Genomic DNA, 19,831 nt, shown 5'->3' on the forward strand with positions numbered 1-19,831 from the left:
GGAACTGTGTTAGAGAAGGTAAAATACTTGCCTAAGGCCCTAGAATCCAACCAAGCTCTGTAAAGATAAAGCTCTTTCCCTGTATCTATGTGGAAGCAAAAAAGAAAAAGAAAGCTAAAATCCATTTATGTTTCTGAAAGGAAAGAATCTGAGTTCCTTCACTAAACTAAGACCGTGGGATATGTTTGCTGTGTTCCATCGTATCATAGTGACATGCTTTGTAAAGGCATGTCACTTGATGTACATCCAGATGTAGCTTAGGGTAACAAACATTTCTCATTCTGTGGGTAAACAATATTAGTAATATAAACATTTTAACCATTCTGAAATAATAGTGGGAAAGCCACACACACACCGATTTTTTTCTACCCTAATAGTAAACCTGTCTCCTTGTCTGCTTTTCTTTCTTCCCTTTTTCCTCAGCTTAAAATTAGACAACCTTCTTTAATAAATATTGCTATTTTTATTGATGTCTTCCTCTTAACCTTCCCCTAAAAGATTCAAATCAATCTACCTATAATGTTAGATCAGATTTCCCCTTCCACTGCACAGAGTCAAGTACTCTGTCTGTAGAAGTATCCTTAGATAGGAAAAGGCATGAGAAGAGTATCTTTTTAGAAAAAATTTTTTAAGAAGTAGTATCCTTAGAGACATTACCTTTGTCCCAAATAATTAAGAAAAGCAACATACTCATTCATGTTATTTCATGTACCATTTAACTTACTTATTGTACCCTTAAAATACATCACTGTTCTTTATCTCTCTACCTTCACACTCACCAGCACACACACAGTATTATAAACTCCCAGGAGGGCAGAGATTTTTGTCTGTTGGTTCACTGATGTATTATAATGCCTAGAATAGCATCCAGGAGATAGTAGGCACTCAATATTTAATAACTGAATCTGTCTTAAGATTCTTCTTTCTGGCCGGGTGCGGTGGCTCACGCCTGTAATCCCAGCACTTTGGGAGGCCGAGGCAGGTGGATCACAAGGTCAGGAGATCGAGACCATCCTGGCTAACACGGTGAAACCCCGTCTCTACTAAAAAAAATACAAAAAAATTAGCTGGGCATGGTGGCGGGCGCCTGTAGTCCCAGCTACTCAGGAGGCTGAGGCAGGAGAATGACGTGAACCAGGAGGCGGAGGTTGCAGTGAGCCCAGATTGAGCCACTGCATTCCAGCCTGGGCAACAGAGCGAGACTCCGTCTCAAAAAAAAAAAAAAAAAAAAAGATTCTTCTTTCCAATGAAGGACTTCTTTTACAGATGGTTCCATCTTTGTTCATTCTAGCACAATTAGTTTCTCCCTCCCATGTCTTTTTTCCTCCTCCTCTACCCTTTCCTTTGTTTCTTCTATGCATGTGGTTAAGAGGGCTCTTCCGTGGTCTGTGCCTTTTATTTATTTTGTAGAATTCCCACTCAGACCTCCTGCCTGAAAGACTAAGACATATGTTCTTAAATGTGTGACACATTTTTTGTCTAACCCAGAACAGTGACTTTTCAAGCTGCTACATACAAAAAGAAAATCTTGTTTTGCTGTTTTGCATTGAAATTGTGCAATTATTTAGGCATTGGCTTATTTTGATTGTTAAGAAATGATAGTAGGGAAAGTTCATGGTGATGAAATCACTGGAAGGCAAGAACTACTAGCTCTGTTGATTAATAAAAGATTTATAGCTCTAAATAACTGGTTTTTGGTATAGACCCCCTGCTTTTCTTCACAAATTATCTGTAATAATAGCCTTGCTAGCTTCATAATATTCACATACCAATTGTATACCTTTGCCTTATTAGTCTTCTTGCCAGAAATAATGTACGTTAGTCTAACCTGTCCAGGTTCCTGAGATTCATAGTGAGTGGATAAAAAGAAGACTACTGTTGGCTGGGCACAGTGGCTGACGCCTGTAATCCCGCACTTTGGGAGGCTGAGGTGGGCAGATCACGAGGTCAGGAGATCGAGACCATCCTGGCTAACACAGTGAAACCCCATCTCTACTAAAAATACAAAAAATTAGCCGGGCATGGTGGCGGGCGCCTGTAGTCCCAGCACTTTGGGAGGCTGAGGCAGGTGGATCACCAGGTCAGGAGTTCGAGACCATCCTGGCCTCCTGGCCAGCATGGTGAAACCCCATCTATACAAAAAACACAAAAATTTGCTAGGCGTGGTGTCGTGCGCCTGTAATCCCAGCTACTTGAGAGGCTGAGGTAGGAGAATGGCTTGACCCTGGGAGGCGGAGGTTGTAGTGAGCCAAGATGGCGCCACTGCACTCCAGCCTGGGCAACAGAAGGAGACTCCGTCTCAAAAAAAAAAAAAGAAAAAAGAAAGAAAGAAAAAAAAAAAGGGCCGGGCGCAATGGCTCATGCCTGTAATCCCAGCACTTTGGGAGGCTGAGGCAGATGGATCACTTGAGATCAGGAGTTCAAGACCAGCCTGACCAACATGGAGAAACACCATCTCTACTAAAAATACAAAAAAAAATTAGCTGGGCATGGTAGCGCATCCCTGTAATCCCAGGTACTTTGGGAGGCTGAGGCAGGAGAATCGCTTGAACCCGGGAGGCGGAGGTTGCGGTGAGTTGAGATCACGCCATGGCACTCCAGCCTGGGCAACTGGGCAATAAGAGTGAAACTCTGTCTCAAAAAAAAAAAAAAAAAAAAAAGGAATACAAAGTTGATAACATTTGAATTAAATGTTATCTTTTATTTTATTTTATTTTATTTTTGATATGGAGTCTCCTCACTCTGTCATCAGGCTGGAGTGCAGTGGTGCAATCTTGGCTCACTGCCACCTCCGCCTCCTGGGTTCAAGCAATTCTCCTGCCTCAGCCTCCCAAGTAGCTGGGACTACAGGCACATGTCACCACCCCCAGCTAATTTTTGTATTTTTAGTAGAGACGGGGTTTCACCATGTTGGACAGGATGGAAATGTTATATTTTATTTTTAAAGAAATTTAAAAATTGCAATTAGGGGCACAATCTTACCTCTTTAGACTATTACCAGAATTGTGAATTTATGTTGGTTTTTTGATGACTAAATAATTTATTTTAACTGGTGTTTTCTTTACAGAAAATTTTTGTTATAATAACATTCAGCAAGCACATAGTGGAGCAAATGGTGGCTTTCATTGGGTAAGTAATTCTTCAAGGACTAATATTAATATAATTACTCTTTAAATGGGAGTAAATGTGTACAAGACTGAATTGAAATAGAATTTTTGACATAGTTCTTTATTTTTTGAGGAGCAAAAATAACTTGCTGTTATTAGTAAATGAAGAATACTTTCTTGTTCTATAGTAGGGAAAGATAAAGCTTACATTATCCCTGTTTAATTGTAAACCAAACATCTATCAAGTCATATAATTCTGGGTTTAAAAGAAGCTTTGGGGTTTGAATCTGTAGCCCCACCAAAGAAATAAGAAATTGTCTTTATATAAAAGATATGTGTATATCATTGCAGTTTAATGGTGCTTTAGTACAATGCTGTGATTTTTGGCCAAACTAGATGCCAGATACACAGCTGCATTTAATGTAAATGTAAATCTTACATAAAATTTTAGTATTTTATATAAAACCTAGCCGGCCGTGGTGGCGGGCACCTATAGTCCCAGCTGCTCAGGAGGCTGAGGCAGGAGAATCGCTTGAACCTGGGAGGCAGAGGTTGCAGTGAGCCAAGATCATGCCATTGCACTCCAGCCTGGGTGACAGAGCAAGACTCTATCTCAAAAAAAAGAAAATTTAGTATTTAATTAAGTAAGTCATGTTAGATGGCATAATATTAACAAAATTTGTCAGGTCTCTATTACTTCACTAGAGAAAAATTAGGTTATTTTAAAAGGCTAAACTGGCCAGGCACGGTGGCTGATGCCTGTAATCCCAGCACTTTGGGAGGCCAGGGCAGGCGGATCGCCTGAGGTTGGGAGTTCAAGACCAGCCTCACCAACATGGAGAAATCCCATCTCTACTAAAAATACAAAATTAGCCGGGCGTGGTGGCACATGCCTGTAATCCCAGCTACGAGGGAGGCGGAGGTTGCGGTGAGCTGAGAGCGCGTCATTGCACTCCAGCCTGGGCAAGAAGAGCGAAACTCCATCCCAAAAAAAAAAATTAATTAAAATAAATTGCAATAAAACCAAAAGTTGTTAGGTTTTTAAATCATTATTATAGGGGAGAGGTTTTCTTTTCATTCAGTAGTACAGCTGCCCCACGGGGGAAATGTGTCAAGTTTAAGTGCCCTTTGTTTAGTTTTAATGTAAATCTTTATCTTAAAAGCCACTTACAGAGCAAACATTTATGGAAATTTTTGCTATTTAAAAAAAGAATGCCACTTGATGCTGAGTTTGTGACTATTGATTTTTTTGGTCATATATATGTTCATTCTTTTCTATGTATTGTAATAAAATAGTTTTTAATATTTGCTAGTTCAGCTTTAATAAGGAAAAAATATATTCTTGAGATTGTACTCAGTGGAGCCAGTCATTAGTTTCATTAATTCCTGAGCTTATCAGTGTGGATTATAACTTGTACACTAAAATTTACATTTAAAATTAAAATTAAATTTACTCTAGTTTTTTGCTGCCTGAATCCTTACAAATAAAGTATTTTATATGTGACCATATATCACATAAAGACAAAAAATATTCTTGTCCCTTATTTTTTATTTATTTATTTATTCATTTTTGTAGAGACGGGGTCTCGCTTTGCTGCCCAGGCTGGTGTCAAACTCCTGGTTTCAAGTAGTCCTCCCACCTCAGCCTTCCAAAGTGTTGGAATTACTGGCATGAGCCACCATGCCTGGCTTCCCTTATGTTTTTGGTTTTTTTTGTTGTTGTTTTTGAGACAGAGTCTCGCTCCAGGCTGGAGTGCAGTGGTGCAATCTCAGCTCACTACAACCTCCGCCTCCCAGGTTAAAGCAATTCTTCTGCATCAGCCTCCTGAGTAGCTGGGATTACAGGTGTACGCCACCACACCCAGCTAATTTTTGTATTTTTAGTAGAGTTAGGGTTTCACCACATTGGTCAGGCTGGTCTCAAACTCCTGACCTGGTGATCCGCCCATCTCGGGCTTCCAAAGTGCTGGGATTACAGGCATGAGCCTCCGCTCCCAACCCCTTATTTTTTAAATGTAAGGAAAACATTTCATTTATTCTTAGAGACTACTACTCTACCTTGAGACTGCAGAGCGCAGTGCATATAACACCATGCATTATTTGTTCTTTTCTTATACTGAACATTTATAGAAAGAAGTTTTTCAGCTACTCCTGCATCCTCACCATGAGTACCTTCTGTTTCCCCAGCCTTTGGAGTTTCTAGGAAGTTACATTACTTAGCTACTTGTTTCATCTACCGATATATCCAGTTTCACTCTCTTCCAATCTGTTCACCATATTGCAGTCAGTAACCTTTTTGAAATTTTAATCTGAGCATATCATCACCACTGTCTTCACTCCCTTTCTCCTCCTCTTCTTGAAACCCTTCACTTACTTGTTTTTCCCTTCATTCTTTAGATAAAGCCAAAACTCCTTACCAGGGTTTATAAGCCCTCTCTGTGTTATCTGTCCCCTCTAGTTTCCTCTGCTCAAACTACTTTGTCCATATTTGAGTCTCCCACCACTGGTCTTTGCTTGTGCTTTTCTCTTTGCCTAGTTCAAGATTTCTCAGCCTTGGCACTATTGACTTTTTAAAGACCAGATAATTACTTGTTATGGGGAACTGTCCTGTGCATTATAAGAGATGTAGCATCATCTTCCTCCTCTACTCACTGCATGCTACTAGTACCTCCCAATCATGACAATCACAAATGTCTCAGACATTGCCAAATGTCACATGGGGAACAGACCACCACCCTCATTGAGAATCACTGGCCTAAACAGTGTCCTTTAGATTTTAGCCATTGCATTCTCAGAAAGCATTCCCTGACTTGATCTAATACCATCTTTACCAGGGGCCTTTCTTCACAGCAACGTATACTACATGCACTTATAGTTATATTGTTACACTTATGTTTGTAGGAGTGTGTGATTTACTGTCTTTTTACTGTTAACCTGTAAGCTTCTCAAAGGCAAAGATTGTGTCTATTTTTGTTTACTGTTATGTCCACTGGTCCTGGCGTCTTGACTGACATATAGCAGACACTTGGTAAATCTGCTGAATAAGTGAACACATGACCAGTACAAATTAGAAAATCATTGGTATAGCCCAGATTCTTCTATTTCCGCAGGCTTTAGAGTTTTTATGAAATTATATTATTTATCTATGGTAAATAGAAATGCCTTTAAGCTTAGGCCAATGTGGTTAAGTCAGAATATCTTATGTCTTTCTTTCTTTTTTTTGTTTTTTTTTTTTTTGTGACGGAGTCTCACTGTGTCGCCCAGGCTGGAGTGCAGTGGCGCGATCTTGGCTCACTGGAAGCTCCGCCTCCTGGGTCCATGCCATTCTCCTGCCTCAGCCCCCCGAGTAGCTGGGACTACAGGCGCCCGCCTCCATGCCTGGCTAATTTTTTGTATTGTTAATAGAGACAGGGTTTCACGGTGTTAGCCAGGATGGTCTCGATCTCCTGACCTCATGATCCGCCTGCCTAAGCCTCCCAAAGTGCTGGGATTACAGGTGTGAGCCACTGCACCTGACCTATCTTACGTCTTTCAAAGTCAGTAATTTATTTTAAACCCCACTGGCATGGCCCCTCAAAAAATTCCAGTGATCCTTTACTCTTAAAGATAAGATGGTTTTGAATATAGTTATGCTAAAATATTCAAGACCTACTGGATTCAGATTTGTATTGAATTAAATGAGTTGTGTCGTATTTGAAAAATTATTTTTAGGAGACAGATGTTGGAATGTCCTGATGTCCTTATCATTTTCCTAGCACTGTCTACAGGGATTACCTCAGCTACTTTTCTTTTTTTTTTTTTTTTTTTTTTTGAGGCGGAGTTTCACTCTCGTTGCCCAGGCTGGAGTGCAATGGTGCGATCTCAGATCTCGACTCACCGAAACCTCCGCCTCCTGGGTTCAAGCAATTCTCCTGACTCAGCCTCCCGAGCAGCTGGGATTATAGGCATGTGCCATCATGCCCGGCTAATTTTTTATTTTTAGTAGGGACAGGGTTTCTCCATGTTGGTCAGGTCACCTGAACTCCTGACCTCAGGTGATCCACCTGCCTGGGACTCCCAAAGTGCTGGGATTACAGGCGTGAGCCACTGCACCTGGCCTTTTTTTTTTTGAGATGGAGTTTTGCTTTGTCGCCCAGGCTGGGGTACAGTGGCACAATCTTGGCTCACTGCAACCTCCGCCTCCTGGATTCAAGTGATTTTCCTGCCTCAGCCTCCCAAGTAACTGGGATTACAGGCGTGCACCACCATGCCTGGCTAATTTTTATATTTTTAGTAGAGATGGGCTTCCACCATTTGGCCAGGCTGATCTCAAGCTCCTGACCTCAGGTGGTCCGCCCACCTCAGCCTTCCAAAGTGCTGCGATTACAAGAGTGAGCCACTGTGCCCGGCCATTCTTTTCTAGATAATATATTAAACAGTATAAATAATTAGACTCAGCAGATGCTAGTAAAGCTTTATTATCAGATCCCAAAGGGTATCCTTTTAGTCTTTGTCATTAATAACATTATCTTTTAATCAGATTCTCCAATTGAGCATGACATGATTGGTTTTTTTATGTTTTGAAGTAGGAAATACTTTTTTTTTTTTTTTTTTCTGAGACAGAGTCTTGCTGTGTCGCCCAGGCTGGAGTGCAGTGGTGTGATCTCAGCTTACTCCAATCTCCGCCTCCCGGGTTCAAGCAATTCTCCTGCTTCAGCCTTCTGAGTAGCTGGGATTACAGGTGTGCACCACCACACCTGGCTAATTTTTGTATTTTTAGTAGAGATGGGGTTTCACCATGTCACGCTGGTCTTGAACTCCTGACCTCAAGTGATCCACCTGCCTCGGCCCACCAAAGTGCTGGGATTACAGGTGTGAGCCACCATGCCCAGCCAGAAATGCTTTTAAATACAAGTGTTCAATTGAAAATTAATAAGTAGCCTCACCAAACCTAAAATGGAGATTAAGTTCAATAAAGAGAACAAATTTTTAGTAGACCCAAATATATGATTTCATATCATAATTAATAGAGTAGTACTTTATTTCAGAAAAGAGGAGGTGAACAGCTGGATTTCCTCACTAGATACACTGTCTCTAACCTGCTGTAGAAACATTCTCCTTTAGATCATTTGAAGCTAGGAATTCAGGACTAGCCTGGAAACATAGTAAGACTCTGTCTGTCTCTACAAAAAAACGCACTAACAAATTAGTTGGGCATGGTGGTACCCGCCTGTAGTCCCTGCTACCCAAGAGGCTGAGATGGAAAAATTGTTTGAGGCAGGAGGTTGAGGCTGCAGTGAACCATGATCATACTACTGCACTCCATCCTAGGCGACAGAGTGAGACCCTGATTCTTGAAAAAAAGAAAGGAAGAAAGAAAATAAACATTCTCCTTTAATTGTTAGTTCTCTCCTTCACACTGTTAAAACCCTGAATGGGCCAGGCATGGTGGCTGACGCCTGCAATCCCAGCACTTTGGGAGGCCAAGGCGGGTAGATCATTTGAGGTCAGGAGTTTGAGACCAGGCTGGCCAACATGGTAAGACCCCCATCTCTACTAAAAATACAAAAATTAGCTGGGCATGGTGCCGCATGCCTGTAATCTCAGCTATTTGGGAGGCTGAGGTAGGAGAATTTCTCGAACCTGGGAGGCGGAGGTTGCAGTGAGCCGAGATCACACCACTGCACTCCAGCCTGGATGACAGTGAGATATGTCTCAAAAAAAAAAAAAAAAATCGGGCCGGGGGCAGTGGCTCATACCTGTAATCCCAGCACTTTGGGAGGCTGAGGTGGGCGGATCACAAGGTCAGGAGATCAAGACCATCCTGGCTAACATGGTGAAACCCAGTCTCTACTAAAAATACAAAAAAAAATTAGCCGGGTGTGGTGGACGGCACCTGTATCTCAGCTACTTGGGAGGCTAAGGCAGGAGAATGACGTGAACCCGGGAGGCGGATCATGCAGTGAGCTGAGATCACGCCACTGCACTCCAACCTGGGTGACAGAGCGAGACTCTGCCTCAAAAAAAAAAAATCGCTGAATGGTATAGCAAATCATCAAACTAAATTAGTAAACTTCAGAATGCAGTCTTTTGAAGGATATTTAAAACCTTGCAGTCACAAATAAAGGAGAGATAACTTGTCATGGTAGAGAACAAAATCAAAAGACAAGCAAGAAAAAAGCCAGCAGCAGTTGAAATTTAAAATAAAATTATGAGATAATAAGGCAAGGAAGAATGAAAAATGAATCCCGGGCCGGGCGCAGAGGCTCACGCCTGTAATCCCGGCACTTTGGGCAGATCACCTGAGGTCAGGAATTCGAGACCATGCTGGCCAACATGGTGAAACCTTGTCTCCACTAAACATACAAAAATTAGCCGGGCATGGTGGCAGGCACCTGTCGTCCCAGCTACTCAGGAGGCTGAGGCAGGAGAATCACTTGAACCCAGGAGGCAGAGCTTGCAGTGAGCTGAGATCACACCACTGCACTCCAGCCTGGGCGACACAGCGAGACTCTGTCTCCAAAAAAAAAAAAAAGGGTATCAAAAATCTTTTGGCTGGGGCCGGGCATGATGGCTCACATCTATAACCCCAGCACTTTGGGAGGCCAAGGCAGGTGTATCACCTGAGGTCAGGAGTTCAAGACCAGCCTGGGCGACCTGATGAAACCTCATCTCTACTAAAAATACAAAAAATTAGCCGGGCGTGGGGGTGGGCGTCTATAATCCCAGCTACTCGGGAGGCTGAGACAGGAGAATCACTTGAACCCGGGAGGTGGAGAATGCAGTGAGCCAAGATCGTGCCAGTGCACTCCAGCCTCAGTGACAGAGGGAGACTCCTTCTAAAAAAAAAAAAAAAAAAGGACCAGGCGCAGTGGCCCACGCCTGTAATCCCAGCACTTTGGGAGGCCGAGGTGGGCGGATCACCTGAGGTCAGGAGTTCAAGACCAGCCTGGCCAACATGGTGAAACCCCATCTCTACTAAAAATACAAAAATTAGCCAAGCGTGGTGATGGGTGCCTGTAGTCCCAGCTACTCAAGAGGCTGAGGTGGGAGAATCTCTTGAACCCAGGAGGTGGAAATTGTAGTGAGCCGAGATTGCGCCACTGCACTCCAGCCTGGGTGACAGAGCAAGACTCCGTCTCAAAAAAAAAAAAAAAAAAAAAATTGGCTAGGCATGGTGGCTCACGCCTGTAATCCCAGCACTTTGGGAGGCCGAGGCAGATGGATTGGTTGAATTCTCAGGAATTTGAGTCCAGCCTGGTCTCGAACATGGCGAGACCCAAAGTCAGGTGATAGAACCAAAGAACTAGGGAACTTCTAGCTCAAAAGGCATTATGTTAGTTGTGATTTTTTTTTTTTTTTTTTTTTTTTTTTGAGACAGAGTTTTGTTCTATTGCCCAGGCTGGAGCGCTGTGGTGCAATCTCGACCCACTGCAACCTCTGCCTCCTGTGTTCAAGCGATTCTCCCGAGTAGCTGGGATTACAGGCACCTGCCACCATGCCTGGCTAATTTTTGTGTCTTTAGTAGAGACAGGATTTCACGATGTTGGCTAGGCTGGTCTCAAACTCCTGACCTCATGATCCACCCGCCTTGGCATCCCAAAGTGCTGGGATTACAGGCATAAGCCACCGTGCCCAGCCCTTTTTGTTTTTTTAATTACGATTTAATACTAATTTTTATTTAATTTTAGACTTTCTCCAGTGGGAGAGACCTGTGCATATTTCTTAAAGAGCATAACCAAATCTAACTTTTAAAGTTATGATTAAAATGACATGTTCCCATATTCTCACCAAATAGGGGATGTGAATTCCCAGAAAATAACATTAAGCATATGACTCGCAGCAAACCATATGCAGAACATTGGCTCATTGTCATGTTGCCAGGGTCTTATTGGAAGACAAAGTCCCCAGTTTTACCACACAAGAAAAGTTTCCATAACTCAATCATTGAACTTGAGGGCTGGGGGATGGTGTTGGCTGGAACAGGGACTTTTTACCAGATACAGAATGTTCCATGCTCTTCTTTGCTGTCTCCTATTTCTGAGCTAACTTGATGCTTGACCTCAGAGTCAGGCTTGCCTGTGGCAAGAGAGATCATTTTAACCAGTGAGTAATAAAGTGCTTGAATCCGAATGTTGTTTCTTATCCCTCACTCTATGGAAAGTGGTCAGAATGAGCTACGTGGGCCTGGACTTTTTCTTCTACAGAAAGAAAATCTGTCCTTTCATTTTAGAGGATAAAATGGTCCATGTATTTGATTCTCTTTGACTTTGATCATTGAAAATAATCAGAAAAAGTTATGGAAGTGTGGAACCCCAGCATTTGTATTATCTGATGAAAGGATAGAATTTAAGGCTTAACACAGGGTTTAAACCCCAGCTGCCGAGACTCAGTTATACAGTCTAACATAACCTCTTTCTGCAGCTTGGGAAAACCCCTTTCTCTTCTTGTCCGTGGTAGTTTATATATCCTTCTCTTTTGACAGTTAACCTTTCTATATGTTTGTTATGGATATTGGGAGACCACATAAAGGTTAAAACAGGAGTTCTGGAGTTAGACTGTTAGATGAGAAATGGGTACATTGTATTTGGAAGTTACCGTTGACCATTTAATGGAGCATTTTAGTAGCATGATGAAAATTAAAACCCAAATATATTGGATTACATGGAATTGTGGGCTAGAGGAAAGGTCAAGCGAAAGTCATGTCTGACACATTTTAATTGTTTTGTAAATATTTGTTGACCAGATGAATTAATTCATTCATTAAATAGGAGGGACCAGTGTGTATTTTAGGCTGAGGGAAAAACTCTAGTAAAATGCTAGAGATAGAAAATATAAATGAAGAAAGGGAAGGATGTGGGAAGGAAATTAACATTCAGTAAGCACCCACTGTGCCAGATGCTTTACATAAATATTCATTTCATATCCATAACAAAACCTGTTAGGTACTATTACAGAGAAGTTAAATTCATATAAATGATAAGAGATGATTGAGATAGGATCAATTCTGGAGTGGATTGATTATCCTCATGAACCAGTTCTTTCTTGAAAACTGGAGTGAAGACTCCAAGATGTTTTGAGGCAGAGAAGGGGGACACTCCTGAGGGAGCACTCTGGAAGCCAGTGAAGTCATTTGCTGGAAGTTGGAAATTTAGACTAGAGCACCAGTTTCAAACAGCTGCTGTGTGAATTTGGTAGGGATGCAGCATGAATTCTGTCTATTCTCCTGTGCACACGTGCATCCACCTGTGTGCAGCTGTAGCTAGTTACTACTGTGGTTACTTTCAATGAAAAACCTACTGGTTTCTGTAGTGTACATTTAAGTGCATTTTTTCCCCTCTCCCAGCATCCTTCTAGATAGAGTTCCTTGAGGACAGAGATCATAACTTTTTTTTAAGTGAGATTGAATTTCAATCAATACTGTCACTTTTTTTTTCTTTTTTGAGACAGGGTCTCGCTGTGTTGCCCAGGCTGATCTTGAACTCCTGTGCTCAAGTGATCCTCCTGCCTCAGCCTCCCCAAATGCTGGGATTACAGGCATGAGCCACTGTGTCCTGCCAATACTATCACTTTTTTGGTTTTTTTGTTTGTCTGTTTGTTTTTTGAGACCAAGTCTTGCTCTGTCGCCCAGCCTGGAGTGCAGTGGCGTGATCTCAGCTCACTGCAACCTCTGCCTCCTGGGTTCAAGCAATTCTTCTGCCTCAGCCTCCCAAGCAGCTAAGACTACAGGCATGCACCACCACCCCCAGCTAATTTTTGTATTTTTACTAGAGTCGGGGTTTCACCATATTGGCCAGGCTGGTCTCAAACTCCTGACCTCAGGAGGCCTCGGCCTCCCAAAGTGCTGGGATTACAGGCATGAGCCGCTGTGCTGGCCTGATTTTTAAGTTTTAGAACTCAGTGAGTCTTCAAACCAGTGCAGATCTGTCACTATAAAAAGCTGCCACCAGGCCCACTCACACCTGTAATCTTAGAACTTTGGGAGGCTGAGGCGGGATTGCTTGAGCCCAGAAGTTTGAGACCAGCCTGGACAACATGGTGAGACCCCATCTCTTGAAAAAAATTTAAAAATTAGCTACTGTGGCCCCAGCTACTCGGAAGGTTGAGGCAGGAAGATTGCTTGAGCCCGGGAGGTCAAGGCTGCAGTGAGTCGTGTTTGTGCCATTGCACTCTTGAGTGGGCAACAGAGCAAGATCCTGTTCCCAAAAAAAAGCTGCCACTGGGGCCAGGTGCAGTGCCACTCGCCTGTAGTTCCAGCTACTTGGGAGGCTGAGGCAAGAGACACAACCTCTTTAAAAAAAAAAAAAAAAGCTGCCACCAGTCTGTCATTTTCTATAAATGCAATCAGTTGATTTTTAACAGAGTTTTGTTTTGGCAACCAATCAGTTTTACCTAGTCCTTATAGACCACTCCTTTAGCTCTGGCCACATTCATCAGCACAAATGCCTGCTTTTCTCCTGCTGCTCAAGTCTGCCTTCTGAAATGAGGTTTTGTTCTCTAGAGCTTCTCTTTAATGTTAGCTTATTTCAAAGAGTAGCTGCTAATGATAAGGAAGTCTAACCTCCAATCTGATTCTTACAGAAAATAATGCTAAATCTCCAAAAGCTAGGGCAATTGCAGATTATTTTGTGATAAAATATGCTGTAAGGCAGTAGAAACAATGTACCTGATAAAATACACCTGGAGAAAGCATGGTCTTCCTTCTACACAGCCAGAAAGAAACCCATGGTGTCATGTGTTCATAATACCACTCTGCGTACAATGGACTAACTTAAGTACAAAAGAAGTTTTAATCATTTGAAAGGGCACAGATGTGAATGAAATTCAAGATGTTTTAATCCCAGATCCTGGGGTCAAATCACAACGAATTTTAGAAGGTGCCAGGGACTGTCAGTCCAAACTTGTATATATGAGAAAGCCCTAGATTTTCTAGTATAGTGTGTGATTTTCATCCTGAATTTATTTTATGTTGGGGTGCCATTCCAAGATCCTGGATGTAAAGAAACATGATTAGGGGGCTACCACATTTCAGATCCAAAGCAAGTAGAATACATCAGTTACCAGTTTTTTCTTATAGTATCAGCTTCAAAGATTCATATACTGAGCCAGGCACAGAGGCTTATGCCTGTAATCCCAGCATTTTGGGAGGTCAAGGCAGGCGGATCACTTAAGGTCAGGAGTTTGAGACCAGCCTGACCAACATGGTGAAACCCTGTCTCTACTAAAAATACAAAAACTAGCAGGGTGTAGTGGTGCCTACCTGTAATCCCAGCTACTCAGGGGGTTGAGGCAGGAGAATCGCTTGAAGCCGGGAGGTGAAGGTTGCAGTGAGCCGAGATTGCGCCACTGCACTCCATCGTGGGTGATAGAGCCAGACTCCGTCTCCAAAAACAAAACAAAACAAAACAAAAAGATTCATGTGTTCTATTCAGTTAAATGGTAAAGATAATAACACTTTCATTCCAGTCACACAGGATAACTAGATCCTTTTTTACTAGGTTAAATATGTGTTTATTTTCAGTTAGCACCTGTTCATTTACTTATTCTGGATTAATAAAGGGCTGAAAGGCTGTAGATATTAATGAGTCAGCATGATGGCCTTTGGCTTCTTCAGAAAGATTGCATGATAAACTCCCCCACCCTTTTCCGAGCAGTCTACCTTACTAGGAAAGGCAGTTTCATGTGGAGGGCAATCTGTCATTTTTGAATAAGGGCAAGAGTCTGAGGTCCATTCTGAGTCACTATGAATAGAGCTCTAGTATTGGTTGGTCCCCAGGGAAACTGGTGGTTAAATACTGTGAGAATCTTTATCAGACAGGAAATGACAACTCATTAAAATACTAGCCGTTAAGCCTGTTTAGATCACTGCCTAGGGGGTAGGAAGGAAAATTTAACTCTATAATGTTTGACTAAAATGTGCACATTTCTGAAGATGGAGAATTATTTACAAGACTGTTACCGAGAAAGGGAATTGCTAGGCTGTCTTGTTGCTGATCTTCTCCCACACCCTCTTTTCCTCTTTTGTACATATAACAGATCAGCTTGTAATGGGAGTAGGATAGGGAAGGGCTTTAATTTCATTCCTGAAAGTGTATCCTACTATTGCCTTAAATGTAAAATTCAGTCTCTTCAGCAGAAGAGGCGGTTGTTGGCTTCAGTTAGAACAGGATCATTTTCTATATAGGAGTCTACTCCTGTGCTCCTGGGCCAAATCTCAATTGATAGAACTCTCTGGGGTCAGAGGATAAATTTGATGTATTGATTTACATACAGTGGTCCTCATTCAATCAAGAAAATTCTAAAGATCCTGATATTCATTTAGAACATAATTAAATTTTATAACTCTGGGCACAGGTTTTCAGTCTCCTGAAGTTGGGCTATCCAGATTTGGTGGGGGCGGGGACAGGGGCTAGCTCTGTTGCCCAGGCTGGAGCAACATCTGCCTCCCAGGCCCAAGTGATCCTCCCACCTCCTGTCGCATGCCAGCATGCTCAGCCAATTTTTAAATTTTTTGTAGAGAGGAGGTCTCACTATATTGCCCAGGCTGGTCTTGAACTCATAGGCTCAAGTGATCCTCCCACCTTGGCCTCCCAAAGTGCTGGGATTACAGTGAGCCACCAAGCTGAGCACTCTTTTCTTTTTATAAGTACCCTGACCTGAATCTTCTCCTGAAAAATTTTTTTTTTCATTTATAAGCTTTCAGGGATCTGACTTATGACACCCTGAGATTCTTTAGACTTTGTGATTAATCATCAGAGGGAATACTAACCCAGCACAAACAATGAAATAAAGGTAAAAAACTGTTGTGCCCAGACTTTTTTCTAAGACAAAAGGCTTATTACTCTTTGTAAAGAGGCTATCGCCTCCTTACTAGAATTTATGTCAGAATGTTTTTCAGGAGGGTAAATATAACCTATATGCTCACATTAATGCTGAGATCCTCAAAAAAGTATTTGAGAAAGGAGCAGAGCCTATATTAAATAAAAAATTTACTTTATTAATGCTGGTAAAATATTCTTAGGCTTAGAGACTTCAACTGCTTAGACTTTAAGTATACACTCTGTAAATAGGGCTAAACAAGGTGAATCAATCTTTTTTGTTGGTGTTTTAAGAAACAGGTTCTCCCTCTGTAGCCCAGGCTGGAGTGTAGTGGTGTGATTTTAGATCACTACAGCCTCAACCTCCTAGGAGGGCTCAAGCAGTCCTCCCCACTCAGCCTCTTGAGTAACTAGGACTACAGGTGTGCACCACACCTGGTTAATTTTCTGTGTGGGTGTAGAGACAGGAGTCTTACTGTGTTGCCCAAGCTGATCTTGAACTCTTAGACTCAAGCAGTCCTCCCACCTCAGCCTCCCAAAGTGCTCGGATTACTGGCATGAGCCACCCTATCCTGCCTGGCCAGATTTCAGATCTTACTTATTTATTATCTATCTATCTAATCTATTGATTTATTGAGAGAGAGACAGGGTCTTGCTCTTTCACCAAGGGTGGAGTGCAGTGGTTCAATCCTAGCTTACTTTAACCTTGAACTCCTAGGCTCACAGGATCCTCCCATCTCAGCCTCTTGAATAGCTAGGACTACAGGCACTTGCCATCACACCCAGCTACTTTTTTAAACTTTTGTAGAGACAGGGTTCTCACTATGTTGCCCAGGCTGATCTCAAACTCTTGGCCTCAAGTCCTCCTGCCTCAGTCTCCCAAAGTGCTGGGATTACAAGCATGACCCATCACACCCAGCCTAAAATACAGATTTCTTGTCACATAAGTGATTTCCAGAAGCAGAGTAACATATATATTAAAAACCATAGAAAAATAATAGATTTTGTTTGCAATTTGGCAAGGGCTCTTGGCAGAATTTTGCCCAAATGTTATTTTGAATGGATTTTTTTTTTTTTTTTTTTTACAATATTTAAGCTTGCCAAGAAGTTTGTCTTAGGTCTGTTTAACAGATTCTAGGTATGTAAGCATGGGAAAATATTGTTCCCATGAAACCAATTTTGAGCTCTGAGTAGGTTTCAAGTCTGTGTTTTTTTCTTTAAATAAAAAAAAAAATTTTATTTGCATTCCTGAGTTTTTTTTTTAACAGAAGTTAACAATAACAAAAGTGTAAAAATTGCCACTAGCATCATTTGTTGGAAATGTGTTTGTTTGTTTCGGAGACAGGATCTCACTATTTTACCCAGGCTGGAATGCAGTGGCTATTCACAGGCGTGATTATAGCTCACTAAGCCTCCATCCCAACTCCTGGGCTCAAGAGAGCCTCCTGCTCAGCCTCCAGATTAGCTGGGACTACAGGCATGCGCCACCATGCCTGGTGGAAAAATTTTTTTTAATCTTACATTTGCTGTTATGTTTGTGCCAGGAATAAAAATATGAAGATACTACTACCCACTAAGATTTTTCTACCCACTGTGTTCAAGGTTCACAGCAAGGAAAAGCAAATGAGATCAACTTTTTTTTTTTTTTTTTTTTTTTTGTCACCTAGACTGGAGTGCAATCTCAGCTCATTGCAGCCTCCACTACCCAGGTTCAAGCAATTCTCATGCCTCAGCCTCCCGAGTAGCTGGGACTACAGGCACGTGCCATCACACCTGGCTAATTTTTTTATATTTTTAGTAGAGACAGGATTTCGCCATGTTGCCCAGGCTGGTCTCGAACTCCTGAGCCATGGTGCCCAACCTACTTCTTTTTTTGTTTTTCTAAGGCTTTCTCACCTAGAGCAAGTACCTACTTACATAGCTAGTTTAGGTATATTTTAGTCCTGCAGTTGACTGAAAAAATAGTTCTATGTCCATTTGTTCTCCTTCTACTTTATGTTCTTCTATGTCACAAAATTGTAGTTATTTGTTTTGTTTTGTTTTGTTTTGTTTTGTTTTGTTTTGAGACAGAGTCTCGCTCTGTCGCCCAGGCTGGAGTGCAGTGGCACAATCTCGGCTCACTGCACCCTTCGCCTCCCGGGTTCAAGCGATTCTCCTTCCTCAGCCTCCCGAGTAGCTGGGATTATGGGCGCCCACCACCGTGCCTGGCAATATTTTTTTTTTTTTTTTTTTTTGTATTTTTAGTAGAGACAGGGTTTCACCATGTTGGCTAGGCTGGTCTCGAACTCCTGACCTCAGGTGATCTGCCCACCTCGGCCTCCCAAAGTGCTGTGATTACAGGCATGAACCACCATGCCCGGCCGAAATGGTAATTCTTTGAATTTAATCAGAGCTTAAGGGCAAATTGGAGGACTTCCCCAACTTAACTATGGGATGAGATTAGCATCTTTAGCAAGGTGCACAGGGTTGCAAGAATGTAATGGCTTAGGGAGAATGGCATTTAGGGTATTTCCTAAACCAACTATAGAAAGCCTTTGAACTGTGTTGCAAATTATTACTCCCACCGTGTGTGCACTTTAAATTAATCTTAAGTGTCAGAATGGACTCTTGCTTCTGGTCTGCTGCTTGAGAATAACTTGACACATGAGATTTAGAGCTGGCATTATTGTTTGCCTTAAATGCATGTTAAGAGTGAGAGCTGTAATTTCTATTTTTATCTAGTCCGTTACTAAAATAGCTTTAGTGATAATTAAGCAAACTATAGTATAAGAGTACTTTGTTGAAGCTGAGGCATCAGTAGCCTAAGTCATTGTAGAGGTAGAGAAATGAAAAACAGAAGTAACTAAAATTTTGATGACAGTTTGGGAAACCAAGGTGGGAGGATCTTTTGAGGCCAGGAATTTGAGACCCACCTGGGCAACATAGTGAGACTCCATCTCTACAAAATATAAAAAGAAACATAATAATAATAATAAATAAAACTTTTAACCTCTTGTCTGTTTTCAACTGTTTTCCTAGTCTTTCATGGAAACCTCCATAGAGACACATAACAAATTGGTATATTAATCTCAGCATTATCCTCAAGATAAGTTATACATCATGTGAATACACATCATATGATGTACTCTATCAGCTAAAATGTATCTATCAGCTAAAGTGTATCTCTTTTTAAAATTATTATGGGTACATAAAGTGTATCTCTTAATGGACTTACAATGGTAAATTATTTACCTTTTCAAATTATTTTGAAGGGAATCTAGAATTATTATTTCCAGTCCCTTCCTCATTTCCCTAAACAACAAAAACATACTCTTTGTAACATTTGGGTCTTGGTTCTTAATTTTCTCTTAAATAATGGCTTGACTATGGCTATCCCTGGTAGATTTAAATGACAATTTACAGTACTGTTTTTTATTTTTGTTTTTGTTTTGTTTTGAGACGGAGTTTCCCTCTTTTTCCCCAGGCTGGAGGACAATGGCGCACTGCAACCTCCACCTCCCAGGTTCAAGCGATTCTCCTGCCTCAGCCCCCCGAGTAGCTGGGATTACAGGCGCCCGCCACCAAACCTGGCTTATTTTTTGTATTTTTAGTAGAGACGGGGTTTCACCATGTTGGCCAGGCTGGTCTCGAACTCCTGACCTCAAGTGATCCGCCTGCCTTAGCCTCCCAAAATGCTGGGATTACAGGCATGAACCACCGCACCCAGCCTTGTTTTTGTTTTTGTTTTTGTTTGAGATGGAGTCTCACTCTGTTGCCCAGGGTAGAGTGCAATGGCATGATCTCAGCTCACTGCAACCTCCGCCTCCCAGGTTCAAGCGGATCCTCCTGCCTCAGCCCCCACTAGTAGCTGAGATTACAGGCATGTGCCACCGTGCCTGGCTACTTTTGTTTTTTGGGGGGGTTTTTTGTTTTTTTGGTTTTTTTATT

General features: G+C 41.9%; 1 protein-coding gene across 10 annotated transcripts in view, besides 1 other annotated feature; it reads left to right on the top strand.

Moving 5' to 3' along the window:
- The window catches only part of VMP1 (vacuole membrane protein 1), a 134,602-nt gene that overhangs the window by 106,991 nt on the left and 7,780 nt on the right, over positions 1-19,831 (top strand). For 8 of the 10 annotated variants that reach the window (NM_001329394.2, NM_030938.5, NM_001329397.2 and 5 more), the window contains one exon: positions 3,068-3,129. In NM_001329394.2, coding sequence (NP_001316323.1) covers positions 3,068-3,129 — 62 coding nt within the window. Of the gene's footprint in view, positions 1-3,067; positions 3,130-19,367; positions 19,407-19,831 lie in introns of all 10 variants that reach the window. The other 2 variants (NM_001329395.2, NM_001329398.2) reach the window with 1 other exon arrangement.
- Positions 15,135-15,324: an enhancer, noted in NCBI's record as "active region_12516". NCBI's record gives its function as "activates an Ori minimal core promoter by ATAC-STARR-seq in GM12878 lymphoblastoid cells {active_cell/tissue: GM12878}" and the evidence as "EXISTENCE:reporter gene assay evidence [ECO:0000049][PMID:35858748]".

Source organism: Homo sapiens, chromosome 17 (genome assembly GCF_000001405.40).
Source record: "Homo sapiens chromosome 17, GRCh38.p14 Primary Assembly".
NCBI classification, from domain to species: Eukaryota; Metazoa; Chordata; class Mammalia; order Primates; family Hominidae; genus Homo; species Homo sapiens.